At 38.3% G+C, this 20,281-nt stretch overlaps 1 protein-coding gene across 18 annotated transcripts in view; it reads right to left on the reverse strand.

Annotated features, from left to right (window-relative positions):
* ETV1 (ETS variant transcription factor 1) overlaps nt 1-20,281 on the reverse strand; it is a 100,197-nt gene that overhangs the window by 24,927 nt on the left and 54,989 nt on the right. For 17 of the 18 annotated variants that reach the window (NR_120445.1, XM_011515168.4, NM_001163148.2 and 14 more), the window contains 2 exons: nt 19,553-19,741; nt 15,347-15,594 (listed from right to left, as the gene is read on the reverse strand). Coding sequence is in view for 17 of the 18 variants with exons in the window: in XM_011515168.4 (XP_011513470.1) it covers nt 15,347-15,594; nt 19,553-19,741 (437 nt within the window). In the remaining variant the exon portion in view is untranslated. The remainder of the gene's footprint in view (nt 1-15,346; nt 15,595-19,552; nt 19,742-20,281) is intronic. The other variant, NM_001163152.2, reaches the window with a different exon arrangement.

Here is a 20,281-nt window from a genome sequence, read left to right on the forward strand (position 1 = left end):
GGGATCTTTCTCTTTAGGGTTTTAAGTAAACTGTGAATATAAATAATGTAAAATCTGCAGAGATACTTACTTCACAATAGCTCGGATGTACTGAATCTACTATTGATTGAGTATGGGGGAGAAATATGTTAATTTTTAGATGGTTTTAATATGCTTGTAATAGCATTTGCAAAATCTTAAAAAAAAGAGAGAAAAGTAGAGGTCAGACGTGGTGGCTCACGTCTGTAATCCTAGCACTTTGGGAGGCCAAGGTGGGCGGATCGCCTGAGGTCAGGGGTTCGAGACCACCCTAGCCAACATGGTGAAAACCTGTCTCTACTAAAAATACAAAATTTAGCTGGGCATGGTGGCGCGTGCCTGTCATCCCAGCTACTCGGGAGGCTGAGGCAGGAGAATCGCTTGAACCCAGGAGCCGGAGGTTTCAGTAAGCCGAGATCGCGCCACTGCACTCCAGCTGTGACAGAGTGAGACTCCATCTCAAAAAAAGAGTAGGCTGTGCACAGTAGCTCATGCATGTAATCTTGGCACTTTGGGAGGCCGAGGTGGGAGGATTGATTGAGCCCAGGAGTTCAAGACCAGCCTGGGCAATATGGTGAAACCCCATCTCTACCAAAAATACTTGAAAAGTTAGCTGGATGTGGTGGCACACACCTGTAGTGCCAGCTACTCAAGAGGCTAAGATGGGAGGATGGTTTGAGCGCAGGAGGCAGAGGTTGCAGTGAGCCCAGATCATACTACTGCACTCCAACCTAGGCAACAGAGCCAGACCTTGTCCAAAAAAAAAAAAAAGTAAAAGTAAAGTAAAGAAAGAAAAAGTAAAAGTAGAATAAGTAAATAATGCAGTTATCGCAGTTATCTGAATTTACGTGCTTTTGAAAGTTTAAGGCTACATGGCGAAAAATAACAGTATAGAATTTTATCTACACAATTATAAACTTCTCTTGTAAGCACCTGGGGTTTTCTTTTGGACAATACCCCACACAAATAATGACCAGATCCAAACAACATTAGATTATATGATCTACTAGGCTCGCACTATTACAAGTTTTACAAGCCTGTGATAGTCTTACTAAGCTGAAATTTTAAAATAAAGTTGAAGTGATAGAAAACATAGACACAACTGTAACTTTGAGTATTTATTTATTTATTTATTTATTTATTTATTTATTTATTTATTTTGAGACGGAGTTTCGCTCTTGTTGCCCAGGCTGGAGTGTAACGGTGCGATCTCAGCTCACTGCAACCTCTGCCTCCCGGGTTCAAGTGATTCTCCCGCCTCAGCCTCCCTAGTAGCTGGGATTACAGGCATGCACCACCATGCCCTGCTAATTTTGTACTTTTAGTAGAGACAGGGTTTCACTATCTTAAGTCAGGCTGGTTTTGAACTCCTGACCTCAGGTGATCTGCCGTCTTGGCCTCCCAAAGTACTGGGGTTACAGGGGTGAGCCACCGCGCCTGACCAACTTTGAGTATTTATTTCATACTACCATACTCTGACAATTAACAGAGGTTTAAAAGAAAATATGAGGCCGGGCGCGGTGGCTCACGCCTGTAATCCCAGAACTTTGGGAGGCCAAGGTGGGTGGATCATGAGGTCAGGAGATCGAGACCATCCTGGCTAACACGGTGAAACCCCGTCTCTACTGAAAACACAAAAAATTAGCCGGGCGTGGTGGCGGGCACCAGTAGTCCCAGCTACTCGGGAGGCTGAGGCAGGAAAATGGCGTGAACCCGGGAGGCGGAGCTTGCAGTGAGCCGAGATCATGCCACTGCACTCCAGCCTGGGAGGCTGAGTGAGACTCTGTCTCAGAAAAAAAAGAAAAAGAAAAAGAAAGTATGATACAGGATGCCATTAGCTGCCAAAATGGGCCACACAAAATTCTGAAGAGATAGTGGTTTTAATGTGGAATTTCAATTTTAAATTTCTCTCTTGCTGGAAACTACATGATTTGAAAAAAAACATACCATGAACAGCTTTGTCCTCTTGTTTTCATCTCTCCTTGGATCACCACAATATTCAGATAACTTTTTCTATTTGCTTTGCATATGAATAATACTAGTAAGAAGTTCATTTGGGTATATACCCAGTAATGGGATGGCTGGGTCAAATGGTATTTCTAGTTCTAGATCCCTGAGGAATTGCCACACTGACTTCCACAATGGTTGAACTAGTTTACAGTCCCACCAACAGTGTAAAAGTGTTCCTATTTCTCCACATCCTCTCCAGCACCTGTTGTTTCCTATAAATCATGCTGCTATAAAGACACATGCACAAGTATGTTTATTGCGGCATTATTCACAATAGCAAAGACTTGGAACCAACCCAAATGTCCAACAATGATAGACTGGATTAAGAAAATGTGGCACATATACATCATGGAATACTATGCAGCCATAAAAAATGATGAGTTCATGTCCTTTGTAGGGACATGGATGAAATTGGAAATCATCATTCTCAGTAAACAAGAACAAAAAACCAAACACCGCATATTCTCACTCATAGGTGGGAACTGAACAATGAGATCACATGGACGCAGGAAGAGGAATATCACACTCTGGGGACTGTGGTGGGGTGGGGGGACGGGGGAGGGATAGCATTGGGAGATATACCTAATGCTAGATGACGAGTTAGTGGGTGCAGCGCACCAGCATGGCACATGTATACATATGTAACTAACCTGCACAATGTGCACATGTACCCTAAAACTTAAAGTATAATAAAAAAAAAAAAAAAGAAGTTCAGCAAGACTGTTTCTCTTGCTGGACTAGCACAATATGATTGTTTTAAGAGTATTGTCTCTCTTATTTTATCTTATCCTCTAGCCCCAAATACTGTACTTTAAATTATTAGAAATAATAATGGCATCTTAATAAAGGACTAGCAGTCTTTGAAGAAGTATCTAGTCAAAATAAAATCATGTCAATGGGAATCCTTTATTATTGCCTGCACCCCTATTATGTGCTAGAAACGGTATCAGTGACTTTATAAACATAACCATATTTACCCGTTACAAAAACACTAAAAGATGAGAGTTATTTGCCCTTTTATAAATGAAGAAACTGGAGGCATAAGGGGTTACAAAACATGCTCAATATGACACAAATCGTAAATGGATGTCAGGCCCAGGATTTACTATAATATTTCCAGTGTCATGTTAAGTGAGTGGTTTTATTTTTTAATACTAAGAAAAACAGATGGAGCAGTGAAATGTACAGACCCACATACTAAAAAAAAAAATTACCAGAACAGAGAGTTGAAAAATACTTTTAAAGAGAATAGTTAAATGAATCACAATAACACATGCTTGTTGTTCTTTTGGTTTTTTTTTTTTGATACTTTTCATATTTATCTTTGAATTACTCTCCTGTAAAATTTTCCAGATTGTTAGAAACAACTAAATAGAAACCATACACACACACACACACACACACACACACACACACACAAAATAAGAACAATAACCATCTATTTAATCTGATAAAAATTCCTTGAAAATTTTTTCAAGTTGTTCATATCCTAGTTGAAAATGTTTTATGAAATAAAATGTCTCTTTTCCTCAAACCTATTAGTTAACTCATTTAAGTATAGAAATCATTTAAGTGTAAAAATTCTAAAACTATATTCGAAACCTAAAAACAGATACTTAGTTATGTAAACACTTTAAAAAATGTTATATGTTCCCTTCTTTTGTTCATATTCATGAAACAGACAAAAACACACAAAGACACACACACAGAGAGAGAGAGAGAGAGAGAAGAGAGATCCAAACATGTATCTTTAAACTGTCTCATTTAATTTCAAATCTCAGTTCCACTTATAAAAACAGTTGTATGTTCACTTTACCCACTTGAAATAAGCAGTTCTGGGCCTAAATATCCTGGTTGTTTTATTAAAAAAGAAACTAAAAGTCCCACCCTATAAAAGCACACTCCACCCCCTTCTAATTGCCTTTTTCCAAGCTAGTACAACTCACAAGCAGATTATCCATCCCTTCCCCCTTTCCTGCCTGTAAAATCCAAGTTAGACAAACACTGTGGGGCTGAAATGACATATTTGAATGGAATTCAGACCCACCAGTTCCTGTTTATGTTTCTGATTTGAGAATGTTGTCTTCTCATTCACTATACATTAGGAACACTGCAAGGCCATAAATAGTGTCAGGTTACTTGCAAGCAGGACCAATGAGCATTAATCATTACTTCCAGTCAACTGGCATAAGCAGCAGCTGATGGAACACTACACCCTTCAGCTCTGTATAAATGGACATTCCAGAGAGAGTGAGTGAGTGTGTGTGTGTGTGTGTGTGTGTGTGTTTCCTTTCAGTCTCCATTTTATGAATGAAACTCCAGGCTCTATAGCGTCCATTCATGTAAGAGAAATGCTTACAGGGCTCTGCCCCTAGGGATCAATCAGTCATGGGTAAAACTGGTATGATTGGTTTAAGACAGCCTTCAGCCTTCCATTACTGCCTTAAAATGCAGTCCCTGTCCATTTGGCCTGTGTTAATGCATAAAGAGTAAATCCAGACTGTAGTCTCAACTCTCAAATCAAATCACTAGAGCCAATGCCACTTACTGTAACTGTAGATTTAGAGCATATTTAAGTATTTCTTAGAAAAACTGATATAGTGGGCCAGAGTACTGATTTGGGAGATTTGCAATTTTAACTCCAAAAGAAATGAGGAAAACTCATATGAGACATGCTAAGCAATAAAAGGCAAAGTCAAATTGTGAGGCCAATCTATGACCTCTATTGCAATAACAAAATCAATTAGGAAGACATCACTGTCACTTTTCACAATTGAAGCACCTAAAAATCAGAGATTAAGTGATCTACTAGTCCACAAATCACTGGATGTGTAAAAGAAAATTATCTTTGGATATTGAGAAAGAGATAAGATGTTAACATTTTCTGAAAGTTCAATAGCTCATTCTTTAAAGTTCCCAAGTGATCCTACACTTGAATTTCTTTAAGCAATAGTTTTAGAGTTAGGAGGGAAAAAATGAGCTGCCATGTTTCAGGAGAAAATGTAGCCATAAGCAAGTGATGTTTTGTAATGGAATAAGGCCACGGTTTAGCCTTTGGAAGTGTTACATATCAAGCACAAAAGGCCAAAGTTCATGGAATCATAATCATTGCTGCCCTGGAAATTACTAAAGATGGCAATATTTAAAAATATCCAGAGTTTTTATGGAGAGGAAGCAATATATAAGCAATTATGGAAATATTTTTTGAAGAGTCAATCCTATCCTGAATAGTATTGAATATGGAATGGGTTTTATCAGCCATTTGTACTTTGTTCCTTGACTCCGAAGGGGAAAAAAACACTTTTTTCTTTCAGTGACCTGAAGCCATGTGAGAAAAAAGTTGCAGTAAACAGTCCCTGTGTATATCTCTAAACCACTGATCAACAGATCCTTGCCATGCCTACAGAAAAGGAAGAGGATAAACAGAAAAACTGCCCAGTCTTTGGTTTTAAACCTGGGAAGGATTATTTATTATGGCATTATGACAAATATTCAACCTCCAATTTCTAATATCTGATTAATACAGTCATACAGAATAAATAAATTTATGGCAGTATGTTAGAGCTCAAAACTAAAATACTTAACATAGGCAGGTGGGAGATGAACCCACCATTCAGAAAAAATATGGGACAGAGGAAAATCACCAAAGAGTGAACGTATACCGAATTATTAATTTATTGCTAACTTTTTTTCCAGGGCTTTAAAAATATTCAATATTTTCTAAGGAATTACTTTTTAAGGTGGTTCAAAAATATGTAAATAAAAATGACAAACTGAAAATGAATATCTTCAAATGTAATATTTCATATTTAAAATAATTGTAATATGTTGTCTAACTTCCATTATTCAATATATTTAAAGTCTGATCAATGTAATACATGAATTATAAATTTATAATTATTAGGGGCTGGATATAAAATTCATAATAGATTGATTTGAGAAGTATATGCATTATCTATATTGAAATAATTTGTTTAGGTGTTCAGAGTTTTAGATATTGTGGTTTTTATAATTCTAGGCCTTCTATAACTATATAAGAGGGAGGCGGGCCTTGAGATAGACTGTTGTGGTTGCTGAGAAGAGAAGAAGGCATACATTCGTAACAACTTGGTGACACTTCCATACTTTCAAAGGGAATATGAATAGAAAAATACTATTCTACTTCCTTTCCTCCTTAGCTGCCTAATTAGAATCCCAGCAATAATACAATTTTTAAAAAATAACTAAGATAAAATAATGTCTTCAATGTGAAAACACTGAATAGTAAGTGACATTGGAATGTTCAGACAGTGGTGGCATGCACCTGTAATCCCAACTACAGTGAGGCTGAGGAGGGAGAATTGCTTGAGGCCAAGAGTTAGCAACTTACCTGGGCAAGACAGCGAGACCCTATCTCTTTAAAACACATCAGCCAAAACAAAACAAGACACACACACATAGAATGTTCAAGAGGGAGAAATTATTGATCATGGGCTTTCCATTTTGGAAATAATGAAGCCTGCTAGTTTATGGTAAGCCTTGAATATTCAAAATAAATATCAGTTACCTTTATTTCTACTCCCTGTGTTCCATCTGACTTTAATTAGTGTCTTTCAACAGCTTTCCTTTTTGTAATCACTGCATACTTTCTGTTTCCTGGATAATATTTTTGGTTGCTTATGTGTGCCCCAATTGTTCAGAAAGGATGAAAGAAAAGTGTATTGGAAAATATGTATGAGGTTAGTTTCCCTAGAACACGTATCTCATCTTGTAAGTAAATAGCAATAAATTGTTTTTTAAGGTAAAATATCCTGATGACACAATTTCTGAGATATTGCTAGATGAGTAGTAGTAATAAATGCAATAGTAATAGTTTAGAAATAAATGACTGGGATATTTTAGCCCTCTGAATGTTGTTATTTTTTTCTTAAGTTTTGTGCAAGTTTAGTCAGTTGATTGAGGCTCTGACATGTCATCTCCAAACCTATAAAACACTACACATTTATATTTTTATATGGATGCAGAAAATAACCATGTTGTTCTTGCTCCATTACCCAATTATTTAATCCTACAAGTTTCACTTTCAAACCATATTATAAACTCTGCAAGGGGAAGCCCAAGCAATGCTTACTACTACAGGCAGCATTAGGAATTACTTCACTACTTTTCCTACTATTTGATTAGGATGAGTATCCACCAACACAGCAAAACATAGAATAACATTTACAATATAAAAACATTCCTCTCTTGCCATTTCAGAAACCCAAGAGTATTTAAATTTCTTGATTAAAGTGCCAGCTTGGGCCTATGTGAATAGCAGATAGATTTGTCAGCTCTGACAGATGAAAGTTAAACATATTCCAGTTTTAACGTATTTAACATAAGGTAAATATTTTTTCAGTATTTATTTCATCATTTTTCTGCCTACACATAATTTTTCGATGTGCTAAGGACAGATAACCGTTCTCTAAATTTACAGGCTTTTCTACTGGCTTTTATCAAAGCCCTAATAGGGTAATAAGGAAGTATATGAGGAGCCTGGGAGGGGTTGTTGGGGTGAATAATGGATGGATTTTAAATGAAGAATGGGCCAGCCACAGTGGCTCACACCTGTTATCCCAGCATTCTGGGAGGCTGAGGCGGGCGGATCACCTAAGGTCGGAAGTTTGAGACCAGCATGACCAACACGGAGAAACTCCGTCTCTACTAAAAATACAAAATTAGCCGGGCATGGTGGTGGCGCACGCCTGTGATCCCAGCTACTCAGGAGGCTGAGGCAGGAGAATCATTTGAATCAGGGAGGCGGAGGTTGTGGTGAGCTGAGATCGTGCCATTGTACTCCAGCCGGGGCAACAAGAGTGAAACTCTGTCTCAAAAAAAAAATTAAAAAAATAAAATAAAATAAAATGAAGAATGGAAAAAGCACCCTATTCCTCAACAACAGCTTTCTTTACATCGATTTGAGATCCTGTAGTCCCTCATAAGCTTACTTGTGAAAAATGGATTCAGCTGACAATGGTCTGAAAAGCACAGCTGAAGGTGAAGTGTAAGCCACTGAGCCATCAAGGGCATTAAGAAAGAAAGAGCGAGGTCCAATGAGAAGACTCAAACTCTATGTTCATGCAATCAAGGACTTAGAGCTTGGAAGGGCCATTAATTAGCCACTTTTTCTTCTCATTATTTTTCAGTCTTTTTCAAAAGAGCTATTATAAAAGATCACTTCTTTGATAATCTCAGTTCTTAAGAATGCTCGTGGTATATTTTTTAAAAGAAAGCAGAATGCATCTTCATAATTTATATCGTTGAATTGCTCTATTTTGCTACCTCACTGCGGTGAACACCTAACATTTAGAGTAAAATGTGGGCACTATTTAATGTGAAATGTGCTCCTCCCAAATTAGTGAAAGCACACCTCGTATCTTCAAGCAGATGCCCTGGATCATGAAGATCCTTCGAAAACCATACAAAAACACTCAGTATTTCCCTTTAATCTGAACAATTATGTAGAAAGACAAATCATGAACTCTTCACTAAACTAAGAATTAGAAAATCCTAATTTTAGTTTTGGCTGCTTCACAATATATCTGTAACTGATGGTAAATTACTTCATTTGGATGAACCTCAGATATTTATCTGTAAAATTTGGGTGTGGAGAAGTTTGAAGTAGGTGAACTTCAAGAGCTTTCATGATAACAGGATTTAGAATTCTATGAAACATTTATTTGTGTCAACTTCCCAGTTTAAAATAGCACGAACAACATTTGCTGTCAAAGAGTTACGTGCCTCCAAATTGAAAAAAGGCCTCATGAGTAGCAGCAGGAGTGGCCTTAAGAAACACAATTTAAAAATGCAAAAACCGTTTCTTCGGCAAACATATGATGTTGAGTTCTCACCTCTACCCTCTGCTTTTATTTCCTGCTCTCTCTAAGCTCAAAGTATGCAGCATTGTCCTTTATTTTCTTATTTTAGCTATCTTCCTCTTGCCTTTGAAAGTTCTTCTTTCCCTCTCTTCATTCCCTACTCTGATTAAGTTGCTCCACCACATGGCCGAGAAGCATTGTTTAAACCTATTAGGATAACAGAATAGGTCTTCAGGGCTAAAAACACCTTATTAATGTACATTACTCCTCCAACCAACTACTGAGTTAAGATTTTTAATACACTGCAATGTGCAAAGGAATAAAACCCTAATGGTAGCATTGCAAGCACTGTGCAAGGTGAACATGAATCCCACTAAGTAAGGCATCATTTTCCCTCCCTCCTCTAAGGCAGTACTAGACACAAACCAATAGAAAGTCATTTACGCTTACAACGTGTGAGACTATAACATCATTTACTTGTTTTCACTTATAGGACTGACGTGATGAGTTTGGACACTTCTCTTCTTCAACTATACATTAATTGATTTTTTTTTTTTTTTTGAGACAGAGTCTCGCTCTGCTGCCCAGGCTGGAGTGCGGTGGCGCGATCTCAGCTCACTGCAAGCTACACCTCCCTGGTTCACACCATTCTCCTGCCTCAGCCTCCAGAGTAGCTGGGACTACAGGGACCCGCCACTGCGCCCGGCTAATTTTTTGTATTTTTTTTAGTAGAGACGGGGTTTCACCGTGGTCTTGATCTCCTGACCTCGTGATCCGCCCACCTCGCCCTCCCAAAGTGCTGGGATTACAGGCATGAGCCACCGCGCCTGGCCCGACTGATTTTTTTTTTTAAATACTCATTCTGTTTGATTAGGAAAGCAGCACATAAGCATTGTTAAAATATAAAATATTAATACTTCACAGATACAAAATATCACCTATAATATCACCACCTATATATAGCCAAGGTATTTCTGTACTGGCTCTTAATTTGCATGAGTTATGCCTTGCATACTTTTAAAAACTCAGTAGTCTCATTTCATTAAATATTTTTCAAAAATCTGACTTCTAATGGCTGCATAATATTTCTTTTACAAGTACCCATAACTTACTTTACCGTTCACCTATTATATATTTTTAATATTTTGCTTTCTGTCTCTCTCAAACATTCACTATGCATCTTTCACTATTTCTTAGAATAAATTCCTGAGAGTGAAATTACCATGTGAACATTGTGTGCTGATATTCTCTAAAGTCAAAGTTTAGTTTCATGTGCTCACTACTCCCTAAAAAAATCTACTGTAAGATATCAAAAAGTAAAATAAAATGAAACAAAAAAAGCAAAATATCAACCAACCACCTAACACTTTCAGCTCTAATAAAATATATTGCTATAAACATCTAAAATATTTGCGTCACTGGACATTCTGAATTTGCAAAACCTCATATGTGGTCATGAAAATGAGAAAACAGTCTTGACTCTAAGAAAATAGGATACTTTCTACGGGAATCTCCATGACGCACTCCAGATGAAGCACTCAATGTGTATTTAACACTTCTTATGTGGGCATTTGACCATAAGGGCATGAAAAAAAATATCATGTTGGATTTAGACAAAAACAACCAACCAACAACAACAAAAAATGTGTACTGCTTTATGCAGCATAATAGGCTAGAGAAGAGAAGGAAAGGGACAATAATAGATGGATTGGATTGGATCTTTTAGAACCTAGTATCATGATACAATCATGATCATACTGTACTGGTTCATTAAGCTAGCCCTAAATATCTATTTCTTGTTTCCTCACTGTCTTCTGATTGAAGTCTTTTTCTTTTCTCCTGAATAAAAATTTATACTCTACTAACATACTATTTTGCATTTTTTATCTTAAATATTAGGCAGTTGAAATTGCATTCCTGTAATTATAATTATAACTAATAGACCTTCCATTTCCCATGTCATAATTAATGTCAGGCTTTATTAGAGCACAATCATAAGCTACCTTTTCCCTTACGAGGCTTCTTTTATTTTCACAACATTTATGGTGTATAGAATTAAGCAATAAAGAGTTCTAAAGGTCTTCCGTAAGAATAGCCTTTGGATCATAGATGCTGAGTTAACTGACTTAGAAAATGCTTTTTACGGCAGGGTGCAGTGGCTCATGCCTGTAATCCCAGCACTTTGGGAGGCTGAGGCTGGCGGATCACTTGAGGTCAGGCGTTTGAGACCAGCCTAGCCAACATGATGAACCCCTGTCTCTAATTAAAAATATAGAAAAATCAGCTGGACATGGTGGCACACGCCTGTAGTCCCAACTACTCGGGAGGCTGAGGCAGGAGAACTGCTTGAACCTGGGAGCTGGAGGTTGCAGTGAGCCGAAATCACACCACTGCACTCCAGCCTGGGCGACAGGATGAAACTACATCTCAAAATACAAATACAAATAAACAAAATGCTTTTTACATTGTTTTTAAACCACATATAAATCTATGTGCTTCCTAATGTGCTATTTGTTCAACACCAATAGGTGAAAAAAGAAATCACTGATTCAGTGATAAATGCATTAGATTTCCTCAAAGGTTATTAAGTGTACTTTCAGCAAGGATGAAAAAATTAATGACAACCAAACAAAATATCTACGAATCATATTTGTTGATTGCCATGTATGACATATACATATGTGTCAACTTAACTGCAGCAATTTCATGGCAAGTAAAATACATTTTGACACCCACAGATTAAGTTTTCATAGGCCCTGGTTATGGGGTTACTATATTTATTTTAAATCCTGTCAGAAAGATACAATTTTACCATTTAACTATTCAAGCAAAACACAACTGTATCCTATTGGCAATATTGAAATTAGAACTCAAAGGTGGTATACAACTTTGGTAATTTTAAATATAATTTAAAAGGGAGAATGCAATATAAAATTAACAGCTTTTTAGGTAAGAATTTTACAAGTAATCTGCAAGACATGGCATACTTAACTTACAAAAGAGATGCCATACATACCTTCGACAAACGATGCTGGACTATGTTTTGAAGATTATATATGACTCAATCTGTGCTTTTGAGGGTCAAATAGTGACTGGCTCTGAAGTCCATATTATGTATGAATGTAATTCTTACAGCACAAGATGCTGTATTTCGCCCTTATTAGAATTTTAAAATCTCTTTTCCATTAGGTTCACATCTTCTTAAGAAAAGTTATACATTCTCAATACCACACTACATATAACTGTATATACAATATAAATATGAGGAGAAGATATACATGGAGCAATCACAGAATCAAGAAAACAGTTTCAGGCTGGGCGTGGTGGCTCACGCTTGTAATCCCAGCACTTTGGCAGGCCGAGGCAGGCAGATCACGAGGTCAAGAGATTGAGACCAGCCTGACCAACATGGAGAAATCCTGTCTCTACTAAAAATACAAAATTAGCCGGGCATGGTGGCGCATGCCTGTAATCCCAGCTACTCCGGAGGCTGAGGGAGGAGAATCGCTTGAACCTGGCAGACGGAGGTTGCGGTGAGCCGAGATCGTGCCACTGCACTCCAGCCTGGCAACAGAGCGAGACTCCATCTCAAAAAAAAAGAGAAGAGTTTCAGTGTGGCTCTTTTTGGTATTATACATATAAAAACATTTCTAGGCAGGGCATGGTGGCTCACACCAGTAATCCCAGCACTTTGGGAGGCCAAGGTGGCCCGATCACCAGAGGTCAGGAGTTTGAGACCAGCCTGGCCACCATGGTGAAACCCCGTCTCTACTAAAACTACAAAAATCAGCCGGGTGTGGTGGTGGGTGCCTGTAATCCCAGTTACTCGGGAGGCTGAGGCAGGAGAATTGCTTGGACCCGGGGGTCGGAGGTTGCAGTGAGCTGAGAATACACCACTGCACTCAAGCCTGGGCGACAGAGCGAGACTCCGTCTCAAAAAAAATTCATTTCTAGAGCACAAAAAGAAATATTTTAAGTGCTATGCTATACATGTTCTTTGGAATGATTATTTGAGATAATTTATATGATTTCCACATAAAGTTTCTTGAAATCATAATGAATTTTAAAAACTACAACAAATTAAAATGTGGTTTGGGGAATAAGGATAATATCAATTAACAGGATTTGAAATTTACAGAGATAAATGTGTACTATTTATAATAGAGCCCACTGTATTGCAGGGTTCTTAATTAGAGACACCAGTGGACGATACAAAAGGTTCTAAACTGAAACCACAATGGGAATTTCAAGATACTCCCCAAATTACAGTCCCTGGGGCAAAAATTCAAATAAAGACTCTTATACAATCTGTTAAAATTTCTTAAATTATAAATCGGCCAAGCAAACTGATAAATAAGGTGTCTTCTCATCTTTGCAACTGTATACCATAACAACCTCTCAGCCATGTCAAGTTTAGTAGCTGAGGAAATCTCTAAAATGAGCCTGGAAGAGTATGTGGTATGGAGAGAGCTAGTACCCAGTCTTCAGATCCTGACACACCCCACTTTTTGTCTCTCTTCCTATCCTTGAGCTCAATATTGGGCCACACTGTGAGAGTTTCACACATCAAGATCCATCCTCATGCCTTCACGAACAACTGCCCTTTAGCCACCCTTGAACCTAGCACTATATATAGGAGCAATGTGCTCTGGTTTCAGAAAACAGGGCCTGGGATGCACTTACTCAGGCCCTGGAAGTAGACTCAAGGCCACTTGGGCAGAGAATTCATAGGTTTTGGGGAGCTTGCATGCTTTCTAGAAGTTGAGGCATGCCTCAACGGGGCCAATTCCCTTCGTCCTTTGAACCTATTGGCCAGTGTAGAAGGATGACCAGAGGGAGACTTCTAAGTCACAGGGCTCTCTTTTGCAGAGCCTTAAGGGCAGTTCATTATCAACCAGGTAATCTTATACGCAAACTGGTAACTCAAGACCTGGAGGTAGTTTTCTTTACTCAAGTAGACTGATGATAGAAAAACTCAGCAGAGGACGCAATACTCCCTTCATAAAGAATGCCCAAACTTTATATCCAGACAAAAGGAAATGAAACTGTTCTCAAATATTTCCACATCCACAACCATCTATTGACCACAGATACAATAATGTTAACAATATTTTACAGGTACATGGTAACCTTATAAACATTAGCTTTTATTTCATAGATTATCTTTCAAAATACCTGAGATGTGTTAAAAACAGATGTCCTGATTTGGCAGATTATAGAAGGAAAAACTCAGCAGGGTTAAGTAATTCTTTTAAAGTCTCAAGGTTCAAATATTGGCAAAGTTGGTGGTACTATTTGGAAAAAAAATTTTTTTTTTGAGACGGAGTCTTACTCTGTCACCCAGGCTAGAGTGCAGTGGCGCAATCTTGGCTCACTGCAACCTCCACCTCCTGGGTTCAAGCAACTTTCCTGCCTCAGCCTACCAAGTAGCTGGGACTACAGGCACGTGCCAGCATGCCCGGTTAATTTTTTGTGTTTTTAGTACAGACAGGGTTTCACCGTGTTAGCCAGGATGGTCTCAATCTCCTGACCTCGTAATCCGCCCACCTCGGCCTCCCAAAGTGCTGGGATTACAGGCGTGAGCCACCAGACTGGAAAAGATTTTAAACCCTCCCTCCTTTCAGGAAACCCCACTCCCCCACTTGACCCGCTGCTTTGTACTACTTTCTAGCTCACAGAGACAAAGCTAAACTCTACGAATAATCTGTTATTCCCCTCTTAATATGTAAGAATTCTTACTTACGAACACTTAGAATCTTTGCCACCAATATATATTTTTTTTTTTTTGAGATTTTTGAGACGGAGTCTCTCTCTGTCACCCAGGCTGGAGTGCAGTGGTGCGATCTCGGCTCACTGCAACCTCTGCCTCCCGGGTTCAAGCGATTCTCTTGCCTCAGCCTCCCGAGTAGCTGGGACTACAGGCACGTGCCACCATGCCTGGCTAATTTTTTGTACTTTTAGTAGAGATGGGGTTTCACCGTGTTAGCCAGGGTGGCCTCGATCTCGGTCTCAGCCTCCCAAAGTGCTGGGATTACAGGCGTGATCCACTGCACCGGGACCCCAGTAATTTTTTCTTAAATGTTATAAGCAACATGTGACCTAGTTCAGAAGAATATTACTTTCTGTAAACATTTTTATTAAGTAGCACTGTAGTAGCAAAATAAGAAGAAAAAAAAGTACAGAATTAAGAAAAAAAATTGCAATGTCCCTCTCGAGCTGAGACTGTGCATAATTCTGTAAAGTGTATTTTTCTTTAAACTGGTTTTGTTTCCAGACACTATTTCAACCATCACCTCATGTCAAAATGACCTGATAGTTCAAATCTTTACACGTAGATGAAGTTTCAATGAACGGACAAAATCTGAAAGATCTTATTAAAAAATGGTCAGGAGCTACCTAGTCTGATACCAACACTAACCAATGTGACAAGGGAGGTGAAAAAGTGCCTTGAATGTAATTTGCGCAGAGCGCAGGCCTACCTGAGTCATATGCAAAATCTCTGGGTTCCTGTTTAATCATCAGAGGAGGGGGAAAGCTTTGGCTGGCCGCACTGCCAACCATGGTGTTGTGTTCATACACTGGGTCGTGGTACTCCTGCTTAAAGCCTTGTGGTGGGAAGGGGATGTTTGGCTCAGACATCTGGCGTTGGTACATAGGACGTCCTTCCCTTGGCATCGTCGGCAAAGGAGGAAAGGAGTTACAGGGTTCAGAAAGCTGGCGGCGAAATCTAGGGAATAAGAGAGTGTGTTTCAGATGAAACGGTAACATGGAACATTCTTTAAAATACGGATACGGTTTTCCATTTCTTAGTGAACGAACATGATACCAGCTGACCTGAAGCGTAAATCTTTAACAAGCATTACGTTTTTCTTTCCTGGATTAGTAGCTCTATGTTTTTTAATCATATGACTTATATTCCCTTTCTAATCAGTCTTTTGCAGCACTGTTGCAGTATATGAGTTAAAGATGTACTTTGAGTAAGGATTGGAGAGCAATGAAAAACTTTGAGGATTTTACACACCCACACACACACACACACACACACACAACGATTAATGGCTAAAATGCCTAGTTCTAAATCAATTGGATCACGGATAATTTCCACACAAGATTCTTAAATCATTATATACCAGAAAAAGATCTCAAACTGCATCCTCTATCTTTTAATTCTGTTACCAAACTGATCAATAAACAAAAAACCAACCAACCAAAAACCTGCTGAGAAAGCAAGAGAGGAATGACTTTTTTCTCAAATCAGGACTTTCAATTCCTCAACAATGTCCTAATTAACATTGCGTTCTAGTAAGAAACAAAACTAGGTATTATAAGGACTCAAACCCAAGCCGGTTGTAAAAAGACTACCTCTTTACTGTCAAACAGCAATGCAGACCATATTGGCTTCCAATAGATTCAAATACAGTATCAGGTTGATAAAAATAAGCATAAATGCACAGCTGATCTCCAAAGGTGAAAATAACATATAGTGTTGTATAGGTTTGGGGCAAGTCCCGCTGTTAGGACATGAGGAAGTTCTGAGGCCTCAGCAGAAGGCTAGAAATGAGTCCTATGCCTCTTTGTTCTTGGTTATACTTTATAACAATTGGCTAATCACATAATCGTTCTGTTCTGTGTTTCTCATCCATAATATCATTGACCCACCACAAAGATGTGGATTAATTAAAGATTTAAAAGTGCTCTAAAAATGCCCCAGGAGTGCTTAAAAATAACCTATAAAACATTTCTATGAGCAAATATAAGCCTAATAACCCCCCCACTAAAAGCATTCCTGAGACTTTAATTTGGAAAGTTAGCATTTAATTTCGGTAATGTTAAATAAAAATAAGGTAAAAGCTAAAGAATGGCAAAGCGATTGCTTTAGCATTTCTAAGAACACTCCATCCTGTGATTTAACTCTAGGCTCACTGGTGGTCATGGAAAGCACTGAAATTCCACCTACACCTGCAGAAAATAAACTTAGAAACTCGGATATTGCAGAGCAGTTAGGCTGACTGGCACTGCATTCATTTCCCTTCTCTTGCTTATTTCATTAGCCAAAAAAAGAAACAGAAATTATCATTAAGAACTGTCAAGGAGTGAATCAGAAAATTGTAACTTGAAGTTAAAATAAGAAACTGGCTCACTTGTGAAGCCTTAAAAGGAAGTTAATAATACTTGTAACTGAAAGCTTTGTAAGGAATCAAGCCATTTGTTTTTACGAGTCGACCTGATTCCAGTTGGAAGTTGCTGGGGAACATGTATATATCAAACACGCATGCTTCTCAGGAATTTGCAAGGTTTTGGTGCAATTCTTAGGAGCCACTGACCAATGGTAAAGAGAAAGTGATTCAAGAAGCTTCTGGAAAGGAGTTAACAGATAAGGAGAACATGCTGATGAACTCCCAGATAAAGAAAAACAGGGTGTAAGTGGTGGAAACACTGAGAAAGAGAGACAGGGCTCCTGCACAGTGGGTTCAGGAAAAAGTGCCAAAGGGCTGGCCCCAGGAGCAGAGTGAGGCTGAGGAAAGGAAGCAGGGTGCAGGCCAGTTGGCCGTAAAGCATTCCCAGAGTGAAGTGGGGTGCCTGGCTGGAGGGGGTGTTTTGGGGAAAGGATCTGTTCCCAGAGCAAATTTGCCATTTATAACTGAGGGACTGTCATTTGTTGGCCAGAGCCCTCTAAGAAATCCTCCTCAGAAACATACGGCTTTAGAGATTTTCCTGGGACTGGCCAGCTGGTACTGTCCTCAAAACTCAGTCAGGGGTCAGTGGGAAAAGACCCCGAGCTTCCCTCTTGGAGTTCCGGGCCGGCTGTTCTCAGTCTCAAATATCTGACTTCAAGTAGAGAAACTAAAATGAATTTGGCTAAAGCATTTCAAGTTAGGTCACCTAAAACCAGGCACACTGCTTATTCAGCAGGCACCTTCCCTAAGAAATAACCAGTTTGCACAAAAAGCGAATTATACAATCTATAATTCTGGCACTGATCAGAAGAGTGAGATTCAGTTATCAAGAACTCAGAAGTCACCAGTAGTGGAGAAAATAAAACTTGGTTTGTTCATATTTTTTTGTTCCCTTTCAGCTCTGCACAATGTCCATCTGTTTAATGGCCCACCCTGCAATAAGAATTCTTTCATCTGTATTTACAAAACTGTTTACACAGATGCACATACCATTGCACTCTGACAAAGTCTCAAGGCTACAGGGTGAGAAGAAAAAGATAATAGGAAGCATTTAATAACTACCCCACAAGAGGACTTAGTGATGGAACCAAGGGTGGAAAAGACAAGGCTTTGTATCACATTGTAAAGAACGCTTTCATCTTACGCCCTTTATAGCAAAATGAGTTTCTGAATTTGAGATTGAGTCCCATGAAAAAACCTATAAAAAGCACATTTGAGTGCTCCCTTATTTTCAGAAAGTTGCCAGTGGCACATCTTCTGCTTTCCTCTGCTGATCTAGAAGATTCCTTTGGCTGAGTTATTTTTACAACGGTGTCTCAGGGCCAGTTTGCACTGACTTATTGTCAAACTTGCAGGAATTTTTTGAGCCAGTTCTTAAACACAGCCACTATTAACAGTTAAATTATATAACTTCACAATCAAAAAATATGTTAAAAACAGAAGATAAAAATGCAAAACTCATCACTTTCTAATTATCTTACTACATTTCATTACCAATTATACACCTGAGGTTACTTATGTCTCTGGTATCCGTATGCTAGAAATACTACATTACGCTGTGCTATTGCATCTTTGCAACTCGGCATTCAGGGTTCTCACAGTGATGGCTCGTAGTGGGCCATGAAAGCAATATGTACATCACAGACCCAGCAAAAGCTACTGATGAGGGCGTTTTGTTTTTCTCTCATGCAGGCTGTTGCTAAACATTTACCAGCACGCCACTGCATACAGAAGCACAGGGCAGAAGAGATAAAGAAGGAGAGATGCTGTATATAAGCAACCTGATTTTAAGCTGTATATTAAGGTAGTACATCTCAGAACCTCTACAGGTTTTATTTAGTATTTTACTTAAATATGAATTTCTTAATCTCAAGGAGTCATGAATTACCTAACGCAGTATTCTCCTTAGATCTATGCTATGCTTCTTGCCTTGCTCCTTTCTAAGTAATACTAATTGAGTCTCTATCTCTTTAATTGTATATTCGCAGTGTCCAGAGTCATGCGTCTACTGATATTAAATATTAATCACCTGGAAAAGATGGTCAACAGTTTTAATCAAATAAGTTATATTCTGCAAAACTATGTACAGCTGAACCATTCAATATAAGGTAGAAAACCTAATTCCATAAGCTACCTACTAAAATTAGTCTCCTAACTTTACAGAACAAGTACACACATATGCTCATAAAAATGGGATGATCTGATTTAAAGTTTAAGTGAAGCAATTTAATTCAAGCAAAGCGAAAGGGAAATGCTCAAATGTCAGTAGATAGATTAATTTTCCATTTTAGCAACCAATTTAAATGTTTATAAAAGGAATGTTTATAAATGACTTTCTCCACAAATTATAAGTATAGATAGAGTGAGCTCTTTCTAAAAATATTTTGCACAGATGTGCAAAATTAATAGGCTCACCTTAAATCTACTCTAGGCCTTCAGAATTGTTAATAGAAATTTTTTCCAAGAACGCAAAAAACAGTTTCTAGAAAACTGGTATCTGCAGGTTACCTGTGGTCCATGGGGTAGCTGCTATCTGGTATGGACTGCGATGGAGGGAGGTGAGCTGGGAAGGCCCGGTCAGGTTTCGGTGTATGAGTTGAGTTTGGAGATGCATGATGCAGTGGGGACACTGGCGTGCTGGATGGTGTGGGGGGGTTGGAGGGCCTCATTCCCACTTGTGGCTTCTGATCATAGGCACTACCCAGGGGACAAAAGAAGAGAGAACATTTCTTTCTTTGGAGCAATTTTTTAAAAAAGTTTCTAATCCAAAGGAAGAAAAGATATTTTAGACTTAAGTCAAATGGAAATGAAAACTTTGTTGTTGCTATTGTTGTTTAAATCCAGAACAGATAAACTTCAAAATCACAACACCCTTAAACAGAAAATAGGATGATTAATGCAAAACCTTGTAACAGAACAAATATTAAATGTGTATTTTTAATGCATATACAAACAACTTAGTACAGGGAAAATTACGTCCAAAAAAGCAGTGGTATTTTTTCCATCTATTCTTGATATATCTATTTGAGAAAGTTTGATAGATCTTTCCTAAATCATTAAATACTTCTGATATTATATTCTTCTTTTATATTATGTAAGATTTTAAAACAAGAACTAACATCAGCTTAATAAGGCAGAGACCACACCTGGCTTGCTTTTATTTGTGGTGGGATTTTAAGAAGGCAATGCTTTTACTTTATTTTCATTTTATTATATTAAATAAATGATGCTTGGCAT

The sequence above is a fragment of the Homo sapiens genome, chromosome 7 (genome assembly GCF_000001405.40).
Source record: "Homo sapiens chromosome 7, GRCh38.p14 Primary Assembly".
NCBI classification, from domain to species: domain Eukaryota; kingdom Metazoa; phylum Chordata; class Mammalia; order Primates; family Hominidae; genus Homo; species Homo sapiens.